Source organism: Homo sapiens, chromosome 6 (genome assembly GCF_000001405.40).
Source record: "Homo sapiens chromosome 6, GRCh38.p14 Primary Assembly".
Lineage (NCBI taxonomy): Eukaryota > Metazoa > Chordata > Mammalia > Primates > Hominidae > Homo > Homo sapiens.
Genome location: NC_000006.12, coordinates 4087345 through 4111549, shown reverse-complemented (window position 1 = coordinate 4111549; position 24205 = coordinate 4087345). Strand labels below are relative to the sequence as shown.

At 42.4% G+C, this 24205-nt stretch overlaps 1 pseudogene across 4 annotated transcripts in view; it reads right to left on the bottom strand.

Annotated features, from left to right (window-relative positions):
- TEX56P (testis expressed 56, pseudogene) overlaps window positions 1–24205 on the bottom strand; it is a 51557-nt pseudogene that overhangs the window by 19216 nt on the left and 8136 nt on the right. For 2 of the 4 annotated variants that reach the window (NR_104463.3, NR_172627.1), the window contains exons 2-3: window positions 23824–24201; window positions 12352–12550 (exon numbers count right to left, since the gene is read on the bottom strand). The product of NR_104463.3 is annotated as a testis expressed 56, pseudogene, transcript variant 2 (transcript). The remainder of the gene's footprint in view (window positions 1–12351; window positions 12551–23823; window positions 24202–24205) is intronic. The other 2 variants (NR_104464.3, NR_172628.1) reach the window with 1 other exon arrangement.

Below are 24205 nucleotides of genomic sequence, written 5' to 3'. Positions count from 1 at the left end.
GTGGAAGGATTAAAAAGATATTCCATGCCAATAGTAATAAAAAGAGAGCAGAAATGGCTATACTAATTGACAAAATAGACTTTAAGTCAAAAACTGTTAAAAGAGACAAAGACAGACATAATATAATGCTAAAAGTCTCAATTTACCAAGAAGATATGACAATTATAAACATATGCACTAAATATTAGAGCTCCAAAATATATGAAGCAAACATTGACAGAATTGAAGAATAAATGGCCCTACAATAATAGTAGAAAACTTCAATACCTCCACTTTCTTCAGTGGATAGAGAACCAGGTAGAAGATCATAGGGGAATATAGGACTTAAAAAACACTATAGACCCACTGGACCCAGCAGACACATACAGTACACTGCACTTAACAACAACAGAATATGTATTTTTTAAGTGCACATGGAGCATTTTCCATATGTTAAGCCATAGGACATCTTAATAGATTTAAAAATTGAAATACAAAATATCATTTCTCATCACAATGAAATGAAACTAGAAGTTAACAGCAAAAACCTGGACAATTCACAAGTATGTAGAAATTAACACACTTTTAAATAACCAATGGGTCAAGAAAAATCACAAAAAATTTAAAATATCTTGACACAAATGAAAACACGACAAACCAAAACTTATGGGAGGATCTGAAAGCAGTGCTAAGATGGAAATTTGCAGCTGCAAACACATTAAGAAAAAAGAAAGATTTTGAATAAACAGCCTAGATTTACACCATAAGAAACTAGAAAAAGAACAAACTAAATCCAAAACTAGCAGAAAGAAGGAAAAAATAAAGATTAAAGATAAATAAATACTAGCAATGAAAATTCCAAAAAGGAAATTGAGAAAAACCATTCAATTTATAATAACATCAAAAATAACCAAATTTAGGAATGAGTTTATCCAATGAGGCATAATACTTAGTGAAAACTACAAAACATTACTGAAATAAATTACAGAAGACAAATAAATAAATGGGAAGACTTCACATGTTCACGGATTAAAAGACTTAGTATTATTGAGATATTAATACTACCCAAGGTGATTTGCAGATTTAATGTAATTCTATCAAGGTCCCAACAATGTGTTTGCAGATATGTAAAATGTATTCTAAAATGCATATGGAATCTTAAGGGACCCCAAATAGGCATAATTACCATACAATCCCACAATTCCACTTCTGGGTATGTCTTAGTCCATTTTTGTTGCTATGATAGAATACCATAAACTGAGTAATTTATAAAGAAAATATATTTATTTGGCTCATGGTTCTGGAGCCTGGGAATCCAAGATTGAGGGGCCACATGTGGTAAGGGTCTTCTTGCTGCATCATATCATGGCAAAGGCATAGCATGTCAAGGAACCACACAAGTGAAACAGAGAGAAAAAGGAGATTGACCTTCTGACATACTAACCCACTCCCACAGTAATGGCATTAATCCACTCATGAGAGCAGAACCCTCATGACCTAATCACACCTTAAAGGTCTCACCGTTCAATACATCACATGGCAATTAAATTTCTTTTTTTTTTTTTTTTTTGCCACGAAAAGATTGTTTTATTCCATGAAAATATTCTCAACAGAAAACACTACCTTTAAATGAAGGATTTACCATTAAGAAATCAACATGTGCACAAAAAGAGTACAAATTACCAAAAAATTAAAGATTTTTGGGGACATTTCACATGTTTAAAATTTAAGAATGATTTAAACTGTGCAAATACAGATGTCTTTCCTATTATAATAGCCCATATACAGGTTGCACTATTCCACGTCAAGGAACTTGCCTGCTACGGAAGCAAATCCTGCTTTTAGAAAAACAAACAGTGGCTTGAAAAGAACAGTTAGTCCTTACAAGAAAGTCTTAAACTTTGCCCTCTGTGGCTGTTAACCAAAAAACCATAAGCATTTCAGGCTTTGTACAGAAGACAAACACAGCCAGATCACATTTCCTCCTCATTGCTAACCTTTAAAATAAAAATAGCACTAGATTTTAAAACTACTTCATGTAGTCTGTCAGTACTGAATAACGTCACATTATATAAATAACCCTGTAATGAGATTCAGTATCTAAACTTTATAGTTTACTAGCTGCAAAGGTAATACAATATATGTCAGCTGTGTAACAGTGGTGACTTGATCTTATGAAGGCAGTAACTTTCACACAATTGTCATTCGGCTGTAGTAAAACTGGTAGTATGATTCAAATAACACTGGGAAAAAGTTATTAAAGCAGTCACACAGCTTCTAAAATATTGCTTAAAATTCAATAATACACAAACCATTTCACATTCTTTCTCCCCTCAAAACAGTAAAGAACCAAATTAATGAAGATTCAGTGGTACAAATAACACCCCACCTGCCCCATCTCCCTATTACAACACCACTAAGAACTTAGTTAAGATACAAGTCATTAACAGAATCACAAATGCGAGGCAGGACACCATGAGCAACAGGAGCACTAACAACAATATATTTACAAGTATAAACATACAGAAATTCCATTTTACAAGTAAAAGTGCACATAGATCATTACAAAGTTTCACTAAATTTTATCAGGTTCAAACAAAAGCATCACGTGGAAACATTATCACTGTAATTATCAAACGTGATCGTCATAACCCCAAATAAAAAGACAACTGGGGGAGGTCCATAAAACTTCCCATAAAAACACTGAGGAAATTAAAATGGACTTGGACATGTCTTTAGTTTGATGCATAAATCTGAAGATGCACCACTGTATATGGTAGAGCTCTAATAGCCACCTACCGAGGCTACGTCGGCAGCTGCAGCGGTGCTGCAGAGTTAAAGGAGATCGCACTGAGCTGACACATGAAGCCCTTGGTGGGATACTGTAGTGGTAGTGTTGGCAATCAACAGATTTTATTCACAAACAAAATCTGTTTTATTCACTTAAGAGCTAGACCGGGTGATTTATTTTGCAACTCTCTTTAAATCTATTTAAATAGATTATGTGCTATGTACTTATTTTCTTCCTTTAGGAAACCAAAGTTAAGAAAAGGGAAGAAAATGAAAATGATGTTATTATTTTACCAAGTTATCCAACTACTATTTTTCTTCCTGGAAACTGTAGCTACAAATTCAAACTTCTAGAAGAAACCACTCTTTGGGGAGTCGGCTTTCCATAGCATTTCAGAGCAGTTTCACTTATTCAAATCCACTAGAGTCACTGTGTTTTCTGAAGTAAAGGGGCAGACAGCATTACTATCCATGAATTCCTGTCCAATAAATTAAATTATGTTTGTAAGGCAGAAAAACACAAATCCTTCACACAGACTTAAGCAGGACATAAAGCAAAAGGCATCAATGAAGCTTCACACCAACGTTACTCAAACAGTAAAGTGACATGGCAATTAAATTTCAACATGAGTTTTGGAGAAGACCTTTAAACCATAGCAGAGTATATACCGCAAATAATTGACTAGCAGAGACTTGAACAGATATTTGCATACAAAGCATTATTCACAAGATAGAAAAGTAAAAACAACCCAAGTGTCCATCAACAGATGAATGGATCAACAAAATGTAGTCTATACATAGAATGAAATATTATCAGCCTTAAAAAAGAATAAAATTCTGATACATGCTACAACATGGATGAACCTTGAAGACATTATGCCAAGTGAAATAAGCCAGACACAAAAGGACAAATATTGTATGATTCAATAGGCAAATTCATAGAGTCAGAAAATAGAATAATGGTTACCAGGTGCTGAGAAGAAAAAGGGGTAGAAAATTAATGTTTAAAGGAGAGACAGTTTCATTATGGGATGATGAAAATGTTCTGGAGAAGGATAGTGACGATGGTTGCATAACAATGGGAATGTACTTAATGCCACTAACTTAATTACACTTAAGCACTTAAAATGGTAAATCTTATGTTATGCACATTTTACTATAAGAAATATTTTTAAAAAGCAATGCAATTCACCATATTAATAGAATAAACATATTATTAATAGATACAGAGAAAGCATTTGACAAAATTATACATTCATGTGTGATAAAAACAAACTAGAAACAGTAGGGAACTTCTCAAACTTATAAAAGGAATCTGCAGAAACCTAGAGTAAATAAAACACTGAATTGTTTTTTCTCTGAGATTGAGAAAAAAAATGAAAGATGTCTGCTTTTACCACATCTGTTCAACATTGTACTGAAAATCTTAGTCATTGCAATAAGGCAAAGAAAGGAAATAAAAGACAAAGAATGGAAAACAAGATGTAAAAATGTTTCTCTATTTGCAGATAATATGACTATTTACATTAAAAAAAATCCCAAGGAATTATATGATCCAGTAATGCCACTTCTGGGTATTTATCCAAAAGAATTGAAATCAAAATCTTGAAGAGACATTAACACCTCTATATTCATCGCAGCACCATTCACAATAGCCAAAGTATGGGAAAAATGTAAATCTTCATTGACAGAGAAGTGGATAAAGAAAATGTGGTATATACGTACAATGAAGTACTAGTCAGCCTTTTAAAAGACAGAAATTCTGTAATATGTGACAACGTAGATGCACCTTGAGGACATGCTAAGTGAAATAAGCCAGTCACAGAAATAATGCATGATTCCATTTATATGAGGCATCTAAAACAGTCAAATTCATAGAATCAAAGAGCGTAATGATGGTTACATCCCAGGGCGTTGTGGGAGGGGGAAATGGGAATTAATGATCAACAGGCTTAAAGTTTCAGGCAATCAAGATGAATCAGCTCTAAATACCTGCTTACAACACTGTTCACAATAATGTATTGCACGCTTAAAAATTGTTGAGAGGTTTGTTAAGACCTCATGTAAAGTGTTCTTATCACAATAAAAGAGAAATCCCAGGGAATCTAAAAACTAGCTACTAGAACTAATAAATTAATTTACAAGTTTGTAGTATACCACAATAACTAACAAAAATCAATTGTATCCTTATATTTAATATTTTTCATTTACAGTGGTGCTATAAACTATAAAATACCTAGTTTTGAGGCTCAGAAAACGATACTCTAGAGTATGGCACTTTGGCACGCTGAATGCTTTGAATTAAATGAAAGCCCTTAGACTCTGCCTCCAAACCAAGGTCTCTCTAACCTTCCCTTGTTTCTTCCCACAAGTGCAGGGAGGGGCTCTCTCTGAAGTTCCCATATCTGACTGAGGGAAGTTACTCTCCGAGAAAAACAATTGCCTTTAATATTCTGTCTGAACTCTCATTAACCAGGAAAGATTAATCACCAAAGATAAAATAAAGGTTGTCACCACAACCCCCTAGACAGACTTTTCATGTACTCTTCTGAGGGCTATTCTGAGGGACTTTATCTGCATAAGGCAAACTTTGTTCATGGTGCAGTTCCTCCCCTCACCTTCCCATAACTTGTTGCCATCTCTCCCAGAGTTCAGAGGGACTTTGTCCCAGGCTATTGTCTCTTGTTTAGGCCCAGTCATCTTCCCTAAATATAATTTACTTTTCCTCTAAAATTCCTTACATCCCTCACCTTCCTCTCCCCTATGAAGCAGGCATTTAATCGTCAACCACCTGGCCCTTCTTTGAATTTTCATACCTTGTGTGACTCTCAGCACTTGCACCTTAATAAATCTGTATGCCTTTTCTCCTGTTAATCTGTCTGTTGTCAAGTTTAGCAGACGCCTTTCATCAACCTTCAGAGGGAAAAAGGAAAGCTCCTTTTACCCCTGTGCTAGTAATAAATATAACAAAAAATATCCACGACTTCTTCACTGAAAACTACAAAACATTGTTAGGAGACATTAAAGAAGACCTAACCAAAGGGCAAATATATCCTGTCCACGTTGAAAGTCTCAGTGTTATTAAGATGGAAGTTCTCCCCTACTGATCTTGATTCAACTCAATCCCAAACAAATTCTAGTAGTCCTTTTGTAGAAACTAACAAATTGGTTCTAAATTTTTATGGCAATACAAAGAACCTAAAATAATCAAAGCAATTTTTAAAGCAGAAGATCAAAGTCAGATGCCTAACACTACCTTATTTCAGGACCTGGCCACAGTAAGAAAGTCTTGTTTGGGCAAAGACATGTAGATAAATGGAGCAAAATAGGATTCAGAAATACACTCAAATATATGTGGAAATTCATTTTTTATGAATGTGCCAAAACAGGCCGGGTACAGTGGCTCATGCCTGTAATCCTAGCACTTTGAGAGGCCAAGGTGGGTGGATCACTTGAGGTCAGGAGTTTGAGACCAGCCCGGCCAACATGGTGAAACCGTCTTTACTAAAAATACAAAAATTAGTTGGGTGTGGTGGTACGCACCTGTAAACCCAGCTACTCTGGAGGCTGAAGCAGAAGAATTGCTTGAACCTGGGAGGCAGAGGTTGCAGTGAGTCAAGATCGCACCACTGCACTCCAGTCTGGATGACAGAGCAAGACTCCATCTCAAAAAAAAAAAAAAAGTGCCAAAACAATTCAATACGGAAAGGAAAATCTTTTTAACACATGCCAATGGGTCAACTAGATAGCCAAATAGAAAAAAGAAATTAACATCAAACCAATGAATATCAAACCCTATGCAAAAATAAAGTAAAATGGCCTACCAACCTAAACTTTTTTTTTTTTTTGAGACAGAGTCTTGCTCTGTTGCCCAGGTTGGAGTGCGGTGGGGCAATCTCGGCTCACTGCAAGCTCCGCCTCCCAGGTTCACACTATTCTCCTGCCTCAGCCTCCCGAGCAGCTGGGACTACAGGCGCCCACCACCACGCCCGGCTAAATTTTTGTATTTTTAGTAGAGATGGGGTTTCACTGTGTTAGCCAGGATGGTCTCGAACTCCTGACCTTGTGATCCGCCCGCCTCAGCCTCCCAAAGTGCTGGGATTACAGGCGTAAGCCGCTGTGCCTGGCCTACCAACCTAAATTTGAAGCTTAAAACTACAAAACTTCAGTAAGGAAATATAGGAGCAAGTCTTTGCAACTTTGGACTTGTCAAAGGATTCTTAGAATATAAAATGCAAAAACTGTGAAAGAAAAAAATTGATGCATTGGGAATGTAAAACCTTTGTTCTTCTGTGTTATCATGAAATAATGAAAGGCAAGCTACCATCTGGGAGAAAATATTTGCAATGCTTTTATCAAAGAATTTTGTATTGAAAATATGAAAAGAACTCTCACAACTTAATAAGGCAAAGAAAATTTAAAGCAAGCAGAAGATGTGAACCAGTCACGTCACAGAAAGTGTTTGAGACATCTTTTCTAGTAGGGGCATGGAATGATGCTCCCCAAGATCAGAACATACACATGTCCCTTCCATTGAAATCAGCAGGGGTACGTGAAAGTCAGCAGGTGTAGGAAGTGTCAGCAAGTATTTGCCAAGACCTGCCTCTAAATTCCAGAGGGATAACACATGCCCTGACCAGCCCAGTCACCTTCATTCCCACATAAAATCCAGTGCCAAGTCCCCAGAAGGAGCCTCCACACCACGTGCCAGGTCTTTTTCTCCAAACCTGCCTCGGTTCCCTTGTACCCAGGCACTCAAGCGTTGTTTTCCTGCCTTTCCATGTAGATTGGCTTGCGGCTACTGCTTCAGGATTTCTGGTCCCACTTCTGGGGGGATCACTCTAGCCCAGGTGACAGAGCAAGACTCCATCTCAAAAAAAAAAAAAAGAAAAGAAAAATGGCCAGGCACGGTGGCTCACGCCAGTAATCCCAACAATTTGTGAGGCTGAGGCGGGAGGATCACCTGAGGTCAGGAGTTCGAGACCAGCCTGGCTAACATGGTGAAACCCCGTCTCTACCAAAAATACAAAAAGTAGCTGGGTGTGGTGGTGCATGCCTGTAATCCCAGCTACTCAGGAGGCCGAGGCAGGAGAATCGCTTGAACCTGGGAGCCAGAGGTTGCAGTGAGCCAAGATTGAGCCATTGCACTCCAGCCTGGGCAACAAGAGTGAGACTCCATCTCAAAAAAAAAAAAAAAAAAAAAAAGAAAAGAAAAAGAAAAAGAAAACATTAAACGTTTTTCTTAAATGCTTACACAGCACACGAGTGGAGTAGCAAATCAACACAGACACTATAACATGGTAAGTACAATAAAAGATGAATTTTGGTATAGAGGAGGAGCGGCCCCAAGTCAGGATAAATTGCAAATGTCTATGGCAGAGAGGTGGGCAAAATAAAACCCATCGACTACCAGGCCCCGTCTTCAGTTGCTACCACATCGATGCAACAAAAACATTATGGAATCTAAACTAAAGTTCTCACATGGAACACACAGCTCTCTTCTGTTCAAGTACTGCTTTTGTCACACTTATCAAGAGAAAAAAAAATTAAGCCCTAGAGTCCATATAAATATGGCATACTGAGCCAGTAAACACAGTTTACAAGTAATTATAATTTACATGCAGTATCCAGTAGGGATTTACAGTATTATTGAGCTGGGGGTTGGAATCCTGCCAGGTTCACCAACAGGGATAAGACACCACCATCTGCAGCTCTAGACTTAGAAAATCTGTTTACCGGCATGGTCCCAGGACTCCTGGCTTTTGTGCCTGCTGATCTGTTTACATAGCACAGCACTGAAGGAACTTTGTCAAAGCCAGCAGGCCTCACGTATGATCTGCCTGTTTTGTGGCCCTAAAACTGCTATTGCCATGTGAGAGAGGGGCCTTATCCTCTCCGTGCTAGCGGGGATACACAGCATAAACTGAGCAAATGTTTGCCAGGGCAGGTTCAAGGTTAGGACCTACAGTTGCCTCAATCTAACACGTGAAAATACTGTACAATGCATTCAAATAGTACTTCATACTTGTCAAAACTCAATTTCACAGTCGTTTTTCTATCAGTGTCACAACTCTTTCTGATACAACATGAGGTATTAGCAACACCATTTTACAGGTGGTCAAGGGCACACGAATCAGTAGTGTTCAATAGCTCTTAGACAAAAACAAAGCTATTCTTCGATTAAATTGACATAATAACTGCACATATTTATGGGATACAGTGGGATGTTTTGATGCATGTTTACAATGTGTCATGATCAAATAAAGGTAATGAGCATGTCATCACCTCAAACAATTTTCATTTCTTTGTGTTGGGAACATTCAAGATGCCCTCTTCTAGCTATTTGAAAATAAACAAAAAATTATTGTTGGCTATAACCACCCTACAGTGTTATAGAACACCAGAACTTATTCCTCCTGTCTAGCTGTACTTTTGTATCGGGTAACCAACCTCTGGCTATCCACCCCTTCCCGTTACCCTTCCCAACCTCTGGCAACCACTACTCAACTCTCTACTTCTGTGAGATCAGCGTTTTCAGCTTCCACATATGAACGAGAGCATGCAGTATTCTTCCCCACTTCCTCTCACTACCTCCACTACCCTTCCCAGCCTCTAGAAACCATTCTTCTACTCTCTACCTCCATGAATACAACTGTTTTAATTTTTAGCGCCCACAAATGAGTGAGAACCTTTTGAAGTTTGTCTTTCTGGGCCTTATTTCACTTAATATAATGTCCTCTAGGCTCATCCATGCAGCCTCATATGACAGGATTTCCTTCTTTTTTATGCTAAAAAGTATTCTCTTGTGTATATACACCACATTTTTAATTCATTCATCTGTTGATGGAAACCTAGGTTGATTGCATATCTTGGCTGTTGTGAATAGTGCTGCAATGCACATGGGAGGGCAGAGAGCTCTTTGACATACTGATTTACTTTCCTTTGGGTTCACACCTAGTAGTGGGATTGCTGGGTCATATGGTAGTTCTAGTTTTATGGACAAAGCTATTATTGATGATTCTTAATAATAGTCAGGCTTGCTTTGGCTAAAGAATGAATTCTCTCAAGGGTGTCAGTTAAGTCACAAAGAATTAAGAATGATACAGTTATCAAATGACAATATTTACCATGTTACCAGGTAATAGGAGAAGAATCATTAATGCCAGGAGGCATCATCAGAACTAGAACAGTTAATTCAGCAGATCCTTCAGGAATCTGGAGTCACAGCAACCAAGACAAGGTTCATGATTGATTGATTGCAAAATGGGCCTAATCCTCCCACCTGTCCTGTACCGAAGCCCCCTGCAACATGACTTTGCACCTCCTTCCACTGGGGCGAAGCCTGTTTCTCCACCTCTTGAATCCCTGCCCAACACTGTTTTCCTGCTTCCACTTTGATGCAACACCACTCCCAGGAAACCTTTTGCATTCTTATTTCTATCTCAGCGCTTGAGACTCCAACCTGTAACACTAGGAATACAAAAATAAATAAGATAGGCTGACAGTCCCTGCTTTTAAGGAAAGCAAATAAATGTTTGTAAAATAAAATGTTAAAAAAAAGTACCATTTCCTATGTTCTGATACTCTAGCTATATTTTCAGAAAGCAAACTAGGATATAAAGATCTATAACTTCATATGAAGACATCAGGACCTAAAATTGAGGTGTACAAACTTTCTATGGTTGTGAAACTTGAATGTTTAAAAATAGGTCTTGTGTTATTCTGTCTTCACATTGCTATAAAGAACTACATGAGACTGGGTAATTTACGAAGAAAAGAGGTTTAACTGAATCATAGATCCACGGGCTTAACAGGAAGCATGATTGGGAAGCCTCAGGAAACTTACAATCAGGGCAGAAAGCAAAGGGGAAGCCAGGCACATCTTATCGTGGTGGAGCAGGAGAGAGAGGGAGAGCGAGGGGAGAAGTGCAACACTTTAAAACCAACAGATCTCTTGAGAACTACTCACTATCATGAGAACAGCAAGGAGGAAATCTGTTCCCATGATCCAATCACCTCCCACCAGGCCCCTCCTCCAACATGTGGGGATTACGATTCAAAATGGGATTTGGGTGGGGACAGAGCCAAATCATATCAGGCTTCCAAAGCATGGTCAAATAATCTTCACTTGAGTAATCAGATATCATCACTTAATATAACCTTTACCTACTTCTGGACAAAAAATGTAGTGTCTTTGCTTTGTCCAGAAAACACCATGGTTCCATTGACCACCTTCTTTTATAATAATACCTTTGCCTTCTTTGGCTACCAATATTTAAATCAAATTGGCAAATTATGCCACTGAGGACACTGAAAAAAATGCAGACAAGGACTCTGTTTCACCAGGGCAATAATCCCAGGGGAAGCTTCCAGTTCAGGCAAATTCATGAGCTGGAACTCTCTCCCGGTTATGTTACCTTCAAATCAGAAATGATCCTGTCTTTGTAGCAACATCTACATTTATCCTGACAGCCCGGCAAAATTGCTTGAATACTTACTATGTACAAAGTGTAGGCATCATTGCCATACATGCAGCAATACGAAAGAAACAAATATAGACCAGGCACGGTGGCTCACGCCTGTAATCCCAGCACTTTGGGAGGCCAAGCAGTTGTATCACCTGAGGTCAGGAGTTTGAGATTAGCCTGGCCAACATGGCAAAACCCCGTTTCCACTAAAAATACCAAAAAAAATTAGCCAGGTGTTGTGGCACATGCCTGTAATCCCAGCTACTCGGGAGGCTGAGGCAGGAGAATCACTGGAACCCAGGAGTCGGAGGTTGCGGTGAGCTGAGATCGCGCCACGGCACTCCAGCCTGGGTGACAGTGCGAGACTCTGTCTCAAAAAAAAAGAAAAGAAAAGAAAAGAAAAGAAAAAAACAAATATAGAAACACCATCTATCTGGCATAAGCAGGGAAAGAAGTGCACCAAAAAAAGATAATTTGCCAAGGAACCAAAGCTTATGACTTTGAGCACCGGAATCCAACCAATTCCACATCCCCACTGTTACCACCTGGGCCACCATCCCTTACCTGCAGAGCTGTAAAATCTCCCAACAGCTCTCCTCCACCCATGCATTCTTTGGGAGGCTAGAGAGGATTTGGGTCAGATGATGTCACTCCTCTTGTTAAGACTGTCCAATGGTGCTCCAGTTCTCTCCATGTACAGTCTGGCAGACCAGGGATAAAGCCAAAGGTCCACCATGTCCTGCTATGGTATCCTAGCCCCTGGTCATGCCAATGGTGGGTGTGAAAAACCAAGCTGCTTCCCAACTTACGCAGCCAAAAAGCCCCAAAGCTCAGTGGTTGGGTTTCTCTCCAAGAATCCCACTCTGTTCTTGCTAGATTTCTGCTCTCTATTCTAGACTGCAATGGGCCATGGAGGACCCACACTCCTGCTCCCATTTCCATGAGTTTACTCCCAGTGAGGGCTCCTCTAGCAGCTTGGTGGTGGGTAAAAATGGGGCCCATGTGCTTTTATATAGAACAGTGCTTATCATTTTTTAGCTAAGGCATATAGAGATTTTGTGATCACCCTGTGTATCTCTAAATATATCCACATAAGGCAGAAATTAGAGTCTACCTGACAACTATGGTGGACATTGGAGGCTCTTTCGTGTTTCTCTTCAACAAGTGACATTTCTTCCACCCGTCAGTTACATTGTTGATGATTTTTCTTTTCCACGGGGGCATTCTGTTCGGCTTTGGGGTCAGATTAATCTCTTTTGGCAACTGATGTCTTGCTAAGATTCTTTCTAAGCCAGAGAGTTCAGGATTCTCACCTGGTAATAGAATAAGCATTAATACATTCAATGTTCCTCTCCATCTTTGCATAGCAAGAGTAACAAGGCACTGATTTGAGAAAACATATATATGCAGCTTAATAATTCCTATTGGGCCGGGTACGGTGGCTCACGCCTGTAATCCCAGCACTTTGGGAGGCTGAGGCGGGAGGATCACAAGGTCAGGATATCGAGACCATCCTGGCTAACATGGTGAAACCCCGTCTCTACTAAAAATACAAAAAATTAGCCAGGCATGGTGGCGGGCACCTGTAGTCCCAGCTACTCAGGAGGCTGAGGCAGGAGAATGGTGTGAACCCGAGAGGGAGAGCCTGCAGTGAGCCAAGATCGTGCCATCGCACTCCAACCTGGGTGACAGTGCGAGACTCCATCTCAAAATAATAATAATAATAATTCCTATTTAGCTTTGTCATTCCTTTATTCCAACAATATTACTGAGCACCATTCAGATCTTAGCCTGGTCCTAGACATCTAGCAGATACATTGTAAGTAAATAAAAGAATGAACAAGGCCGGGTGCGGTGGCTCACACCTCCCAAAATTTGGGAGGCCGAGGTGGGCGGATCATGAGGTCAGGAGATCAAGACCGTCCTGGCTAACACGGTGAAACCCCGTCTCTACTAAAAATACAATAAATTAGCCGGGCATGGTGGCGGGGGCCTGTAGTCCCAGCTACTCGGGAGGCTGAGGCAGGAGAATGGCGTGAACCCAGGAGGCGGAGCTTGCAGTGAGCCGAGATCGCGCCACTGCACTCCAGCCTGGGCGACAGTGAGACTCTGTCTCAAAAAAAAAAAAAAAAGAATGAGCAAACAAGCAGGCATGCTGGGACCACACAAATAGAGTTGGTTATGTGTGCATGATTCTCAAACTAATGGCAAGTTACCATACAATTATTATTATTGTGATTCTCATTTTCCCTTTAATTGCATACTTAATTGGAGATGCACATTTTGAAACTTCCCAGAAGAAATAGGGTGAATGTTAACATTATTGTCAGGCCGCACAACTTGGGGCCCCGTTTTATTGATGATTTTGTCTGAGCAAGGATTACAACATAGGACTGAACTTCCAGCATGCTTTGTCAGTTAGAATGTGGGAGTGTCACTTACTGTTCTTTTTGATTCCACAAAATTCATTTCTGGCCAGAAATGAACTGTTTTTTCTCGCTCTGTTATAAGCATGTCTATTTTCAGCTATGCCGGTGGGAAATGCCTTCCTTCTTTTGGGTGTTCCAATAACTGAGACTTGAGGTTTGGACTGTTGCGGCCTACTGTAGGAGCTCTGGATGGCCAGCGGTACAGCTACAATTGCATGGTAGAGCCACTTGGAGAAGATGAAGTCAATACCAGAGGGGCTTAGATCCTATGTTATCAGAAATGGAATGGCATCCCTCCCTGGTCAGCCAGCACCTCCATGAGAGCTCCAGGATGGAGTGCAGTGGTGCAATCATAGCTCACTCCAGCCTCGACCTCCTGGGCTCAAGCGATCCTCTGACCTCAGCCTCCTCAGCAGCTGGGACTACAGGCATGCACCACTACACCCGGCTAATTTTTGTTATTTTTTGCAGAGATGAGCGTCTTACTTTGTTGCCTAGGCTGATCTCATTCATAGCCTCAAGTGATCCTCCTGCCTCAGCCTCCCAAAGTTAACTTTATATTTAAAATATAAAATAAAAACCTGGGTTTTTTTAAAAAAAATATGTTTAGTTCTTTTTCTTTCTTTCTTCATGTAATCATTTCTGGGTAACCAATATAGTGTAATACAGGCAAAGCATCTTGCAGGTGAAGAGGGGATTGACAGGAAAAGAACAAAACCTATTTTTAAGGTCAAAAGAAATTTCTTCTAGAAGGAAGGCTTTAGACCCAGCAGCAGCAAGACAGCAGTATCTATTTTTAAATCCTTGGTCTGACGGATGAAAGTCAGAGCAATAGGGTCATGTCTTCAGGATGCATATGCAAGGAAATCACTATATGTTTGGAAATGGCATCTTGGCAACGGAGCACATTTTTAGTGATGAATTTAAGACCTCAAAGGCCAATGTGCTCCCAGTGACTGGACTCAGCCTGAGGCCAGTTCCCTGAAGGCACAAACTCAGAACTCTGAGGAGTCATTTCTTACCCCTTAATGCTGTTCACCTCAGCTGCATGAACCTCCTTAAACTGGCTTCCAACCATAGCAAAGAATCACTGCACCCAAATACCTCTGAAACAAAGGCACCCCACTGCTGCTTGGCAGTTGTACATGGCAGGAATTACCGGCTGCTAAATGTGTACCGACGTCTATCACCGTCTACACTGGGAGGCTACGGAGACAAAATCTAAATCAACATAGAATGAGAATGTCTCTAGAAAATCAAAACTCATTTCTCCAACTTCACATAATTACTGCATTTTCAGTGTTAATGTTGCATTTTAATTACAAAAGTAAAAGGTTTCCATTGGAATAATTAAAATGAAACAACTCAGCGAAGTCTACATAGCAAAAAGGGAAAGTTTTGCTTCATTTTCCCTCTTCAAGCTCTATCCTTTCTCCAGATGTAGCCACCGTCCTGAATTTCCTAAGTCTCCTTCAAAACTCTTTTCTATGCATTTATATACACATATATATGTACAAATGTATAGTTTTCTTTTGGCATACATGGATCCATATTGTGTATCTTCCTTTGCAGCTTATTAAAACTCTATAATCTGTATTGTAGACATGTTAATGTCAACTTTCTTTTTAATAGTATTCCACTATGTGGATATATGCCTTCGTTTAATTCTTCTGCTACTGAATGTCATAGGTTGTTTAAATTTTTGACTATTATAAACAATGCTTCAGTGCACGGCCATATTTATCCATCTTTGGGCTCAGGTACAAGTTGTTTCTGTAGGATAATAACTAGAAGTGGAATTGCTAAGTTGAAGGACATATACATGTAACAGGATGTGAAAATATACATTTTTCTGTTGTCTTGTTTTGTCCAAGGCCGCAAGTCTGAGAAAACTCGAGTAGGTGCCGGACACCTATGCGTGCACAGCATCCCTATCAATATGTGAAAAAACGGAGGATTCATTCAGGATTCCTTAAGGCACTTGAGGATTTCTTTAGGCACAGAGTTGGGGCAGTGCTGTGTACTATGTCATTCCCCTTCCCACCCTTGGCTTTAAGGGGACTTTAGAGAAGTACCTGAGGAATGGGACTATGTCTCCTGACACTGGTGCTCAGTCTCCTAGGGCTGTCCTAACAGTGCCACAAAGTGGGTCACTTGAAACAACAAATTTATTGTCTCACGATTCAGGAGGCTGGAAGTCAGATATCAAGATGTCAGCAAGGCCACGCTGAAACCTTGAGGGGAGAATCTTTCTTTGTCTCTTCCTAGTTTCTGGTGTTTGCCTGCAATCCTTGGTATTCCTTGCCTATGGATGCATCACTCCCATCTCTGTCTCTACTGTCACAAGGCCATCGGCTCCTGCGTGTCTCTTTCTTCTTATAAGGTCACCAGTCATACTGGATGAAGAACTCTCTCTACACATATTACGTTCACCTAAGTTTAATTAATTACATCTGCACCCTGTAAAGATCCTATTTCCAAATCTAGTCACATTCTGGGGTGCTGGGAGTTAGGACTTCAATATATCTTGTTGAGGGACAATATATGTTGTTGAGGCAAAATCACCAATATATAGCCATATATTTTGTTGAGCCTGTAACACCTTGAAACACAATGGTGAGTGGCTGGGATCACAGCTGCCTGTGGCCACAGAGAAAAGAGGGCAGTGTTGGAAGCCAACTGTGCTTTTATCAACGGGGTGAAGGTATGGGGAGCAAGGGCACAGATTTTCTTTGAGCTAAATGTAAACCCCAGCCGGACTTGGCGGTTCATGCCTGTAATCCCAGCACTTTGGGAAGCCGAGGTGGGTGGACCACTTGAGGTCAGGAGTTTGAGAGCAGCCTGGCCAAAATGGCAAAACCCTGTCTCTACTACAATACAAAAATTAGCCAGGTGTGGTGGCGCGTGCCTGTAATCCCAGCTACTCGGGAGGCTGACGCAGGAGAATCACTTGAACCCGGGAGGTGGAGGTTGCAGTGAGCCGAGATCGCACCACTGCACTCCAGCCTGGGCGACAGATTGAGACTCTGTCTCAAAAATAAATAAATAAATAAATAAGTAAATAAATATGTAAATCCCTTGGAAAATACAACTGACCCTTGAATAACATGGAGGTTAGGGGCACTGACCCCTGCTCAGTTGAAAATAAACACATAAGTTTCTTTTGTTAAAGAGTCTTGGCCAGGCTCGGTGGCTCATGCCTGTAATCCCAGCACTTTGGGAGGCCAAGGCAGGTGGATCACAAGGTCAAGAGATCGAGACCATTCTGGCCAACATTGTGAAACCCTGTCTCTACTAAAAATACAAAAAGCTGAGCGTGTTGGTGCATGCCTATAATCCCAGCTATTTGGGAGGCTGAGACAGGAGAATCGCTTGAACGCGGGAGTGGAGGTTGCAGTGAGCGGAGATCACGCCATTGCACTCCAGCCTGGGCAACAAGTGCAAAACTCTGTCGCAAAAAAAAAAAAAAAAAAAAAAAAGTCTTGCTATGTTGCCCAGGCTGGTCTCGAACTCCTGGGCTCAAGCAATCCTCCTGCCACAGTCTTCCAAGTAGTTGAGCATGGTAGTCTAGCACCTGTACCATGCCACTACACCCAGCTACTTTTTTGACTTTTGATTCACTCAAAACTTTTACTAATAGCCTACTGTTGGCCAGAAGCCTTACTGCTAACATAAATGGTTAACACATATTGTATATGTTATGTGTATTATATATCACATCCTTAGAGTAAAGTAAGCAAAAAAATGTTATTAAGAAAATCATGGCCGGGCACGATGGCTCATGCCTGTAATCCCAGCACTTTGGGAGGCCAAGGCAGGTGGATTGCTTGAGGTCAGGAGTTCAAGAATAACTGACCAACATGGTGAAACCCCATCTCTGCTAAAACTACAAAAATTAGCCGGGTGTGGTAGCGGGTGCCTGTAATCCCAACTACTCGGGAGGCTGAGATGGAGAATCACTTGCAACTGGGAGGTGCAGGTTGCAGTGAGCGGAGATAGCACCACTGCACTCCAGCCTGGAAGACAGAGTGAGACTCTGTCTCAAAAAAATAAAAAGAAAATCATAAGAAAGAGAAATACATTGACAGCACTGTATTTATCAACACTATAAGTTTACACCATCTGTTTACAAGAAAAATCGTCTGTCTGAAGTGGCAGGCAACTATTCAATGTACAGTACATATCAAGCAACTCAACTTTTTCTTGTAACATCATGACTTTTCTCTGCTTCTTGGGAGTACTTCTAGCATCACTAATGGCACTTTTTGTGGGTCCCATAGTGTTATTCAAGTTTTATGGTATTGCACTAAACACAAAAAATACATGAGAACTGTGAAATCACTTTACTGTGAAATGCAATTTACTAGAGACATGAGCTGCTCCCACAGAGATGATTAGCATCACATGGCATTTTAAGTGGATATTCACACCACTTGAGCTCACAGCAAGAGCAACGGGAGGTGGCTATGAAATTACTACAGCACTACAGTATTACTACAGTTAATTTTCTACAGTTATGATTTAATACTGCATAATTTTTTTTTTTTTTTTGAGGTGGAGTTTTGCTTTTGTTGCCCAAGCTGGAGTGCAATGGCATGATCTCAGTTCACTGCAGTCTCTGACTCCCGTGTTCAAAAGATTCTCCTGCCTCAGCCTACTGAGTAGCTGGGATTACAGATGCCGGCCACCACGTCTGGCTACTTTTTGTATTTTTAGTACAGACGGGGTTTCAACATGTTGGCCAGGCTGGTCTTGAACTCCTGACCTCAGGTGATCTACCTCCTCGTACTCCCAAAGTGCTGGGATTACAGGTGTGAGCCACCACTCTCGGCCTAATACTGCATCTTTATTCTCATTTACATTTCCCTTGACTGTGAATGGCACCAAGTACAGTCTGTAAGTGTTTCTGTGTGTAAGTTTTTATAAATTTTAACTTTTCCTAATAGGTTTGTGTACATTTTATGGTACTAAATGATAAAGTAGACTAGTATCTACATATATTCTATGCATTCACAACATCTCTTTTAATTTTTCTTGAGTCCCACTTTGTCGCCCAGGCTGGAGTGCAGTGGCACAATCTCAGCTCGCTGCAACCTCCAACTCCCAGGTTCAAGCAATTCTCCTGCCTCAGTCTCCCAAGTAGCTGGGATTACAGGCATGTACCACCACACCGCCTAATTTTGTATTTTCAGTAAAGACAGGGTTTCACCATGTTGGTCAGACTGGTCTCGAATGCCTTACCTCAAATCATCCGCCCGCCTCAGCCTCCCAAAGTGCTGGAATTACAGGCATGAGCCACCACGCCCACTACCCTTTTTCTTAATTTTTTGTTATTTCTGGACTATATGATTGGTCTACAAATTTTTTCAAATTGTGGCACATCTTCAAAAAAATTTCCAATATATTTACTGAAAAAAATCCACCTATTGTTGCCGGATCAAGAGGACCAGAGAGAGACCTTGGGGTGTATACAGGATATCTTTATTATTGAGTGCACTTAGACCCAACAGAGTTAACGTCCAAAGACTGGGCGCAGAACAAAGACAGTACTTGCCTTTTATACATACTTCATAAAAGGGGGTAGGCTAGCTTGAAGCAAGCGTATACTGGCGTGAAAGCAGGGATACAGAGGCAGGATAAAGACAGTTAATTAAGTTGTAACAGGTTCATAACTCAGGATTACACATGACCATCGCTAAGCAACCCAGATGTCTGTTATCTAGACTTTGCCCAGGTACGGGCTTATCCTATAACCTTCATTACGGCGCCCAGGTGGCCATAACTCAGGCCTGTTCAGAGGCTCATGACCTTCACTCTACTGCTTAGATAAAACAGAATACTTTTAAGTTACCAGTTACAGAGAACAGAAATCTATAAACTGAATAAAAGGAAAATTGGTTTTTCTTCTCGCTATGTTGAGGGAGTGCTGGAAGAGTTTCCAGAGCACAGTAGATAGTATTATTAAGACTTTTTCTGTGTCTGGGCTGTGCCTGTCGCTGCCTCTGGGACAAGTCAGCCTAATCCAGGAAAGCTTATTTCTTTAATTGGTTTTATTTTTCTTTAATTTTCTGCCACACTACAAGTGGACCTGCACAGTTCAAGTAAGTTGTTCAAGGGTCAGCTGTAGTCATTTGGAGTCTGCTTGAATATAGGAGGATCTCAGGAGCATTTCCGTCAAAAGATTATGCAATTTCTATTGAAACTGGATGGAAGTGAACCTTACAAAAGCTGGGTAGGGTGGTGCTATGGTCTGAATGTTTATGTCTCTCAAAATTCATGTTAAATCCTAGCCCCCAAGGTGATGGCATTACGTGGTGGGGGTGTGTCTTTAAGAAGTGATCAGGTCACGGGAGCAGTGCCTTATAAACTAGGCGTGAGAGAGATGCCCCCCACCCCCCCTTCCTGTGTTCAAAATTGGTGGGTTCTTGGTCTCACTGACTTCAAGAATGAAGCTGCAGACTCTCACAGTCAGTGTTACAGTTCTTAAAGGCAGCGCGTCCAGAGTTTGTGCCTTCTGATGTTCGGATGTGTTCGTACTTTCTTCCTTCTGGGGGGTTCACGGTCTCGCGGACTCAGGAGTGAAACTGTAGATCTTCACGGTGAGTGTTCTAAGCTCTTAAGGTGGCATATCCAGAGTTGTTTGTTCCTCTGGTGGGTTTCTGGCCTCAGTGGCTTCAAGAATGCAGCAGCAGACCCTCGCGGCCAGTGTTACAGCTCATAAAGGGACTGCAAACCCAAAGAGCAAGCAGCAGCAAGATTTACTGCAAAGAGTGAAAGAACAAAGCTTCCATAGCGTGCAAAAGGACCCCAGCAAGTTGCCATAGCTGGCTCGGGCCGCCTGCTTTTATTCTCTTATCTGGCCCCACCCACATCCTGCTAATTGGTCCATTTTACAGAGAGCCAATTGGTCTGTTGTACAGAGAACTGATTGGTCCGTTTTGACAAGGTGCTGATTGGTGCATTTACAATCCCTGAGCGAGACACAAAAGTTCTCTACCTCCCCACTAGATTAACTAGATACAGAGTGTCAACTGGTGTATTTACAAACCCTGAGCTAGACACAGAGTGCTGATTGGTGCATTTACAAACCTTGAGCTAGATACAGAGTGCCAATTGATGCATTCACAATCCCTTAGCTAGACATAAAGGTTCTCCAAGTCCCCACCAGATTAACTAGACACAGAGTGCCGATTGGTGCATTCACAAACCCTGAGCTAGACACAGGGTGCTGATTGGTGTGTTTACAAACCTTGAGCTAGATACAGAGTGCTGATTGGTGTATTTACAATCACTTAGCTAGACATATTCTCCAAGTCCCCACCAGACTCAGAAGCCCAGCTGGCTTCACCCAGTGGATCCCATACCGGGGCCGCAGGTGGCGCTGCCTGCCAGTCCCAAGCCATGTGCCCACACTCCTCAGCCCTTGGGTGATCGATGGGACTGGGTGCCGTGGAGCAGGGGGCAGCAATGGTTGGAGAGTCTCCGGCTGCACAGGAGCCCACGGGGAGGCTCAGGCACGGCGGGCTGCAGGTCCCGAGCCCTGCCCTGCAGGGAGGCAGCTAAGGCCCCGGGAGAAATCGAGCACAGCAGCTGCTGGCCCAGGTGCTAAGCTCCTCACTGCCCGGGGCGGCGGGGCCGGCCTGCAGCTCCCAGTGCAGGGCCTGCCGAGCCCACGCCCACCCGGAACTGGCGCTGGCCCACAAGCGCCGCGGGCAGCCCGGGTTCCCACCCGCGCCTCTCCCTCCACACCTTCCCGCAAGCTGAGGGAAGCAGCTCCAGCCTTGGCCAGCCCAGAAAGGGGCTCCCACAGTGCAGCGGCAGGCTGAAGGGCTCGTCAAGCGTGGCCAGAGTGGGCGCCAAGGCCGAGGAAGCGCCCAGAGCGAGAGAGGGCTGCAAGGGCTACCAGCATGCTGTCACCTCTCACTTCCACTATGTGAGGACACAGCAAGAAGGTGCCATCTATGAACCAGAAAGTTTTCTCCAGACATGGTATCTACCTTGATTTTAAACTTCCCAGCCTCCAGAACTATGAGAAATAAATTTTTCTGTTTATAAGCTACCCAGTCTATAGTATTTGTTGTTTTTGTTTTTTTGAGATGGAGTCTCACTCTTGTCGCCCAGGCTGGAGTGTAATGGCACAATCTTGGCTCACTGCAACCTCCACTTCCGAGGTTCAAGCGATTCTCCTGCCTCAGCCTCCCAAGTAGCTGGGATTACAGGCACCCATCACCACGCCCGGCTGATTTTTGTATTTTTAGTAGAGATGGGGTGTCACCATGTTGGCCAGGCTGGTCTCGAACTCCTGACCTCAGATCCACCCGCTTCAGCCTCCCAAAGTGCTGGGATTACAGGCGCGAGCCACTGTGCCCGGCCTCAGTCTATGGTATTTTGTTATAGCAGCCCAAACAGACTAAGGCACCTGAAGAGAAGAAATCTCAGCAGGAGGCTGTGAAAACTGTCAGCCTGGGAAATAGCCAAAGAACCCACACAAACACCCCCAGGAGACAGTCTGCCCTTTTTTTTTTTTTTTTTTTTGGAGACAGAGTCTCACTCTGTTGCCAGGCTGGAGTACAGTGGTGCGATCTCGGCTCAGTGCAACCTCCACCTCCTGGGTTCAAAGGATTCTCCCGCCTCAACCTCCTGAATAGCTGAAATTACAGGCACCCGCCATCATGCCCAGCTACTTTTTGTAAACATGGGGTTTCACCATGTTGGTCAGGCTGGTCTTGAACTCCTGACTTCAGGTGATCCACCCGTCTTGGCCTCCCAAAGTGCTGGGATTACAGGCGTGAGCCCACCGCGCCTGGCTTCGGAATTGCATCTTAATCTCTGTGGCGGCTGCTATTTTGTTTTCTAAGTTCATGAGCACAGGTGGCTGCCTCTATCTTTCTCCTCCACTTAAGCAGGAACAATTCAGGAGGCAGACTCCACCCAATGCTGCAAATCGGCCCTATTATCATTGACCCTGACAGAATTTCAGGAGTGTCAGGCCACTCCATACTGCAAACAGTACAGGTTGCTTATAATCGCCAGGAGGAAAGAAAATATCCAGCTTCTTCCTGGTGCAATCATGGCCATAGGAGGAAGGAATCATAGGAAACAGAGCAAAGGAACAAAGTTCAAAACCTGACTTTCCACTTGGAAGTTCTCTCACTAATCTTAAAATCAAATATAAAGCTTAAATTGTAAATTTAGCGGCATTTCCCTCTCAGTACCCTTTCCATATTCCCACAGGTAAGCTTTGCCTAAAGAAGAGAGTCAGGCCTGGCCGTGTGTGGTGGCTCACGCCTGTAATCCCGCACTTTGGGAGGCCGAGGCGGGCATATCATGAGGTCAGGAGATCGAGACCATCCTGGCTAACACAGTGAAACCCCATCTCTACTAAAAATACAAACAAATTAGCCGGGTGTGGTGGCGGGCGCCTGTAGTCCCAGCTACTGGGGAGGCTGAGGCAGGAGAATGGCATGAAACCGGGAGGCGGGGCTTGCAGTGAGCTGAGATCGCACCACTGCACTCCGGCCTGGGCGACAGAGCCAGACTTCATCTCAAAAAAAAAAAAAAAAGAAGAGGGTCACGCCTAACTTGGCTCACAAAAGACTATTTATGCAAAAGAACATGAAGAAGCAATGGATAATCAGCACATGAGTAAATTCCAGAATAAGCCCATGGATGGGGACATGTGTCTAGAGGACCGATCACACCTACAACGTACAGAGCAAGTTCTGGCCGGGTGCAGGGGATCCCACCTCGAATTCCAGCACTTTGGAGACAAAGGCGGGCAAAGGCTTGAGCTTGGGAGTTCGAGACCAGCCCAGGCAACATGGGGATGTGGGGAGCGGGGGGGGTGCAGCTCTACAAAAAATTAAAAAATTAGACATTGTGGTGGCAATGCACCTGTAGTCCCAGCTACTGGGGAGGTCGAGGTGGGAGGATCGCATGAGCCCAGGAGTTTGAAGCTGTGGTGAGCCACGATTATTGCACTCCTGCACTCCAGCCTGGGGGATAAAGCGAGAGCCTCGTCTCAAAAAATAATAAAAATACACTAAGTAAAATAAAGAGTAAAAGTTCTTCCTTGCGTCTTAAAGTAGAGGCAGTTTGTATCAAGATAAAGCATATGCTTGCTGAAAAGAACTCATGCCCACCCTCGGCCCACATACATTTTTTCTTGTCCTCTTCACTCTTGCGGGAATAAAGCGTCTCCATCAGGTGATTCGGAAGCAGCTCGTGGAGGTTAGACAGCATCTCAAAGGGGCGACACAAAACTTCTGGCTGGGCACAGTTTTCCGGCTTCTTACACTTGTCAAGGAGTGAAAATTTTATCACGCTGGAGCTGCTGCTGGCTGTTCTCGTGATGCTGGTTGTATCACAGAGAAGAACAAACTGAGAACATGAGGAGTGGATGGGGTGTGCAGTTGTTCTGGCAAGCTTTCCTCCATCTCCAAGATGAAGTGGAACCAGCTTTCTGATCTCTTATTGCCTGGCATTCTGAGAGTCACAATGGCCCAGGTATTGGTCCGGAACCCTGCGTGTTCATCCTGC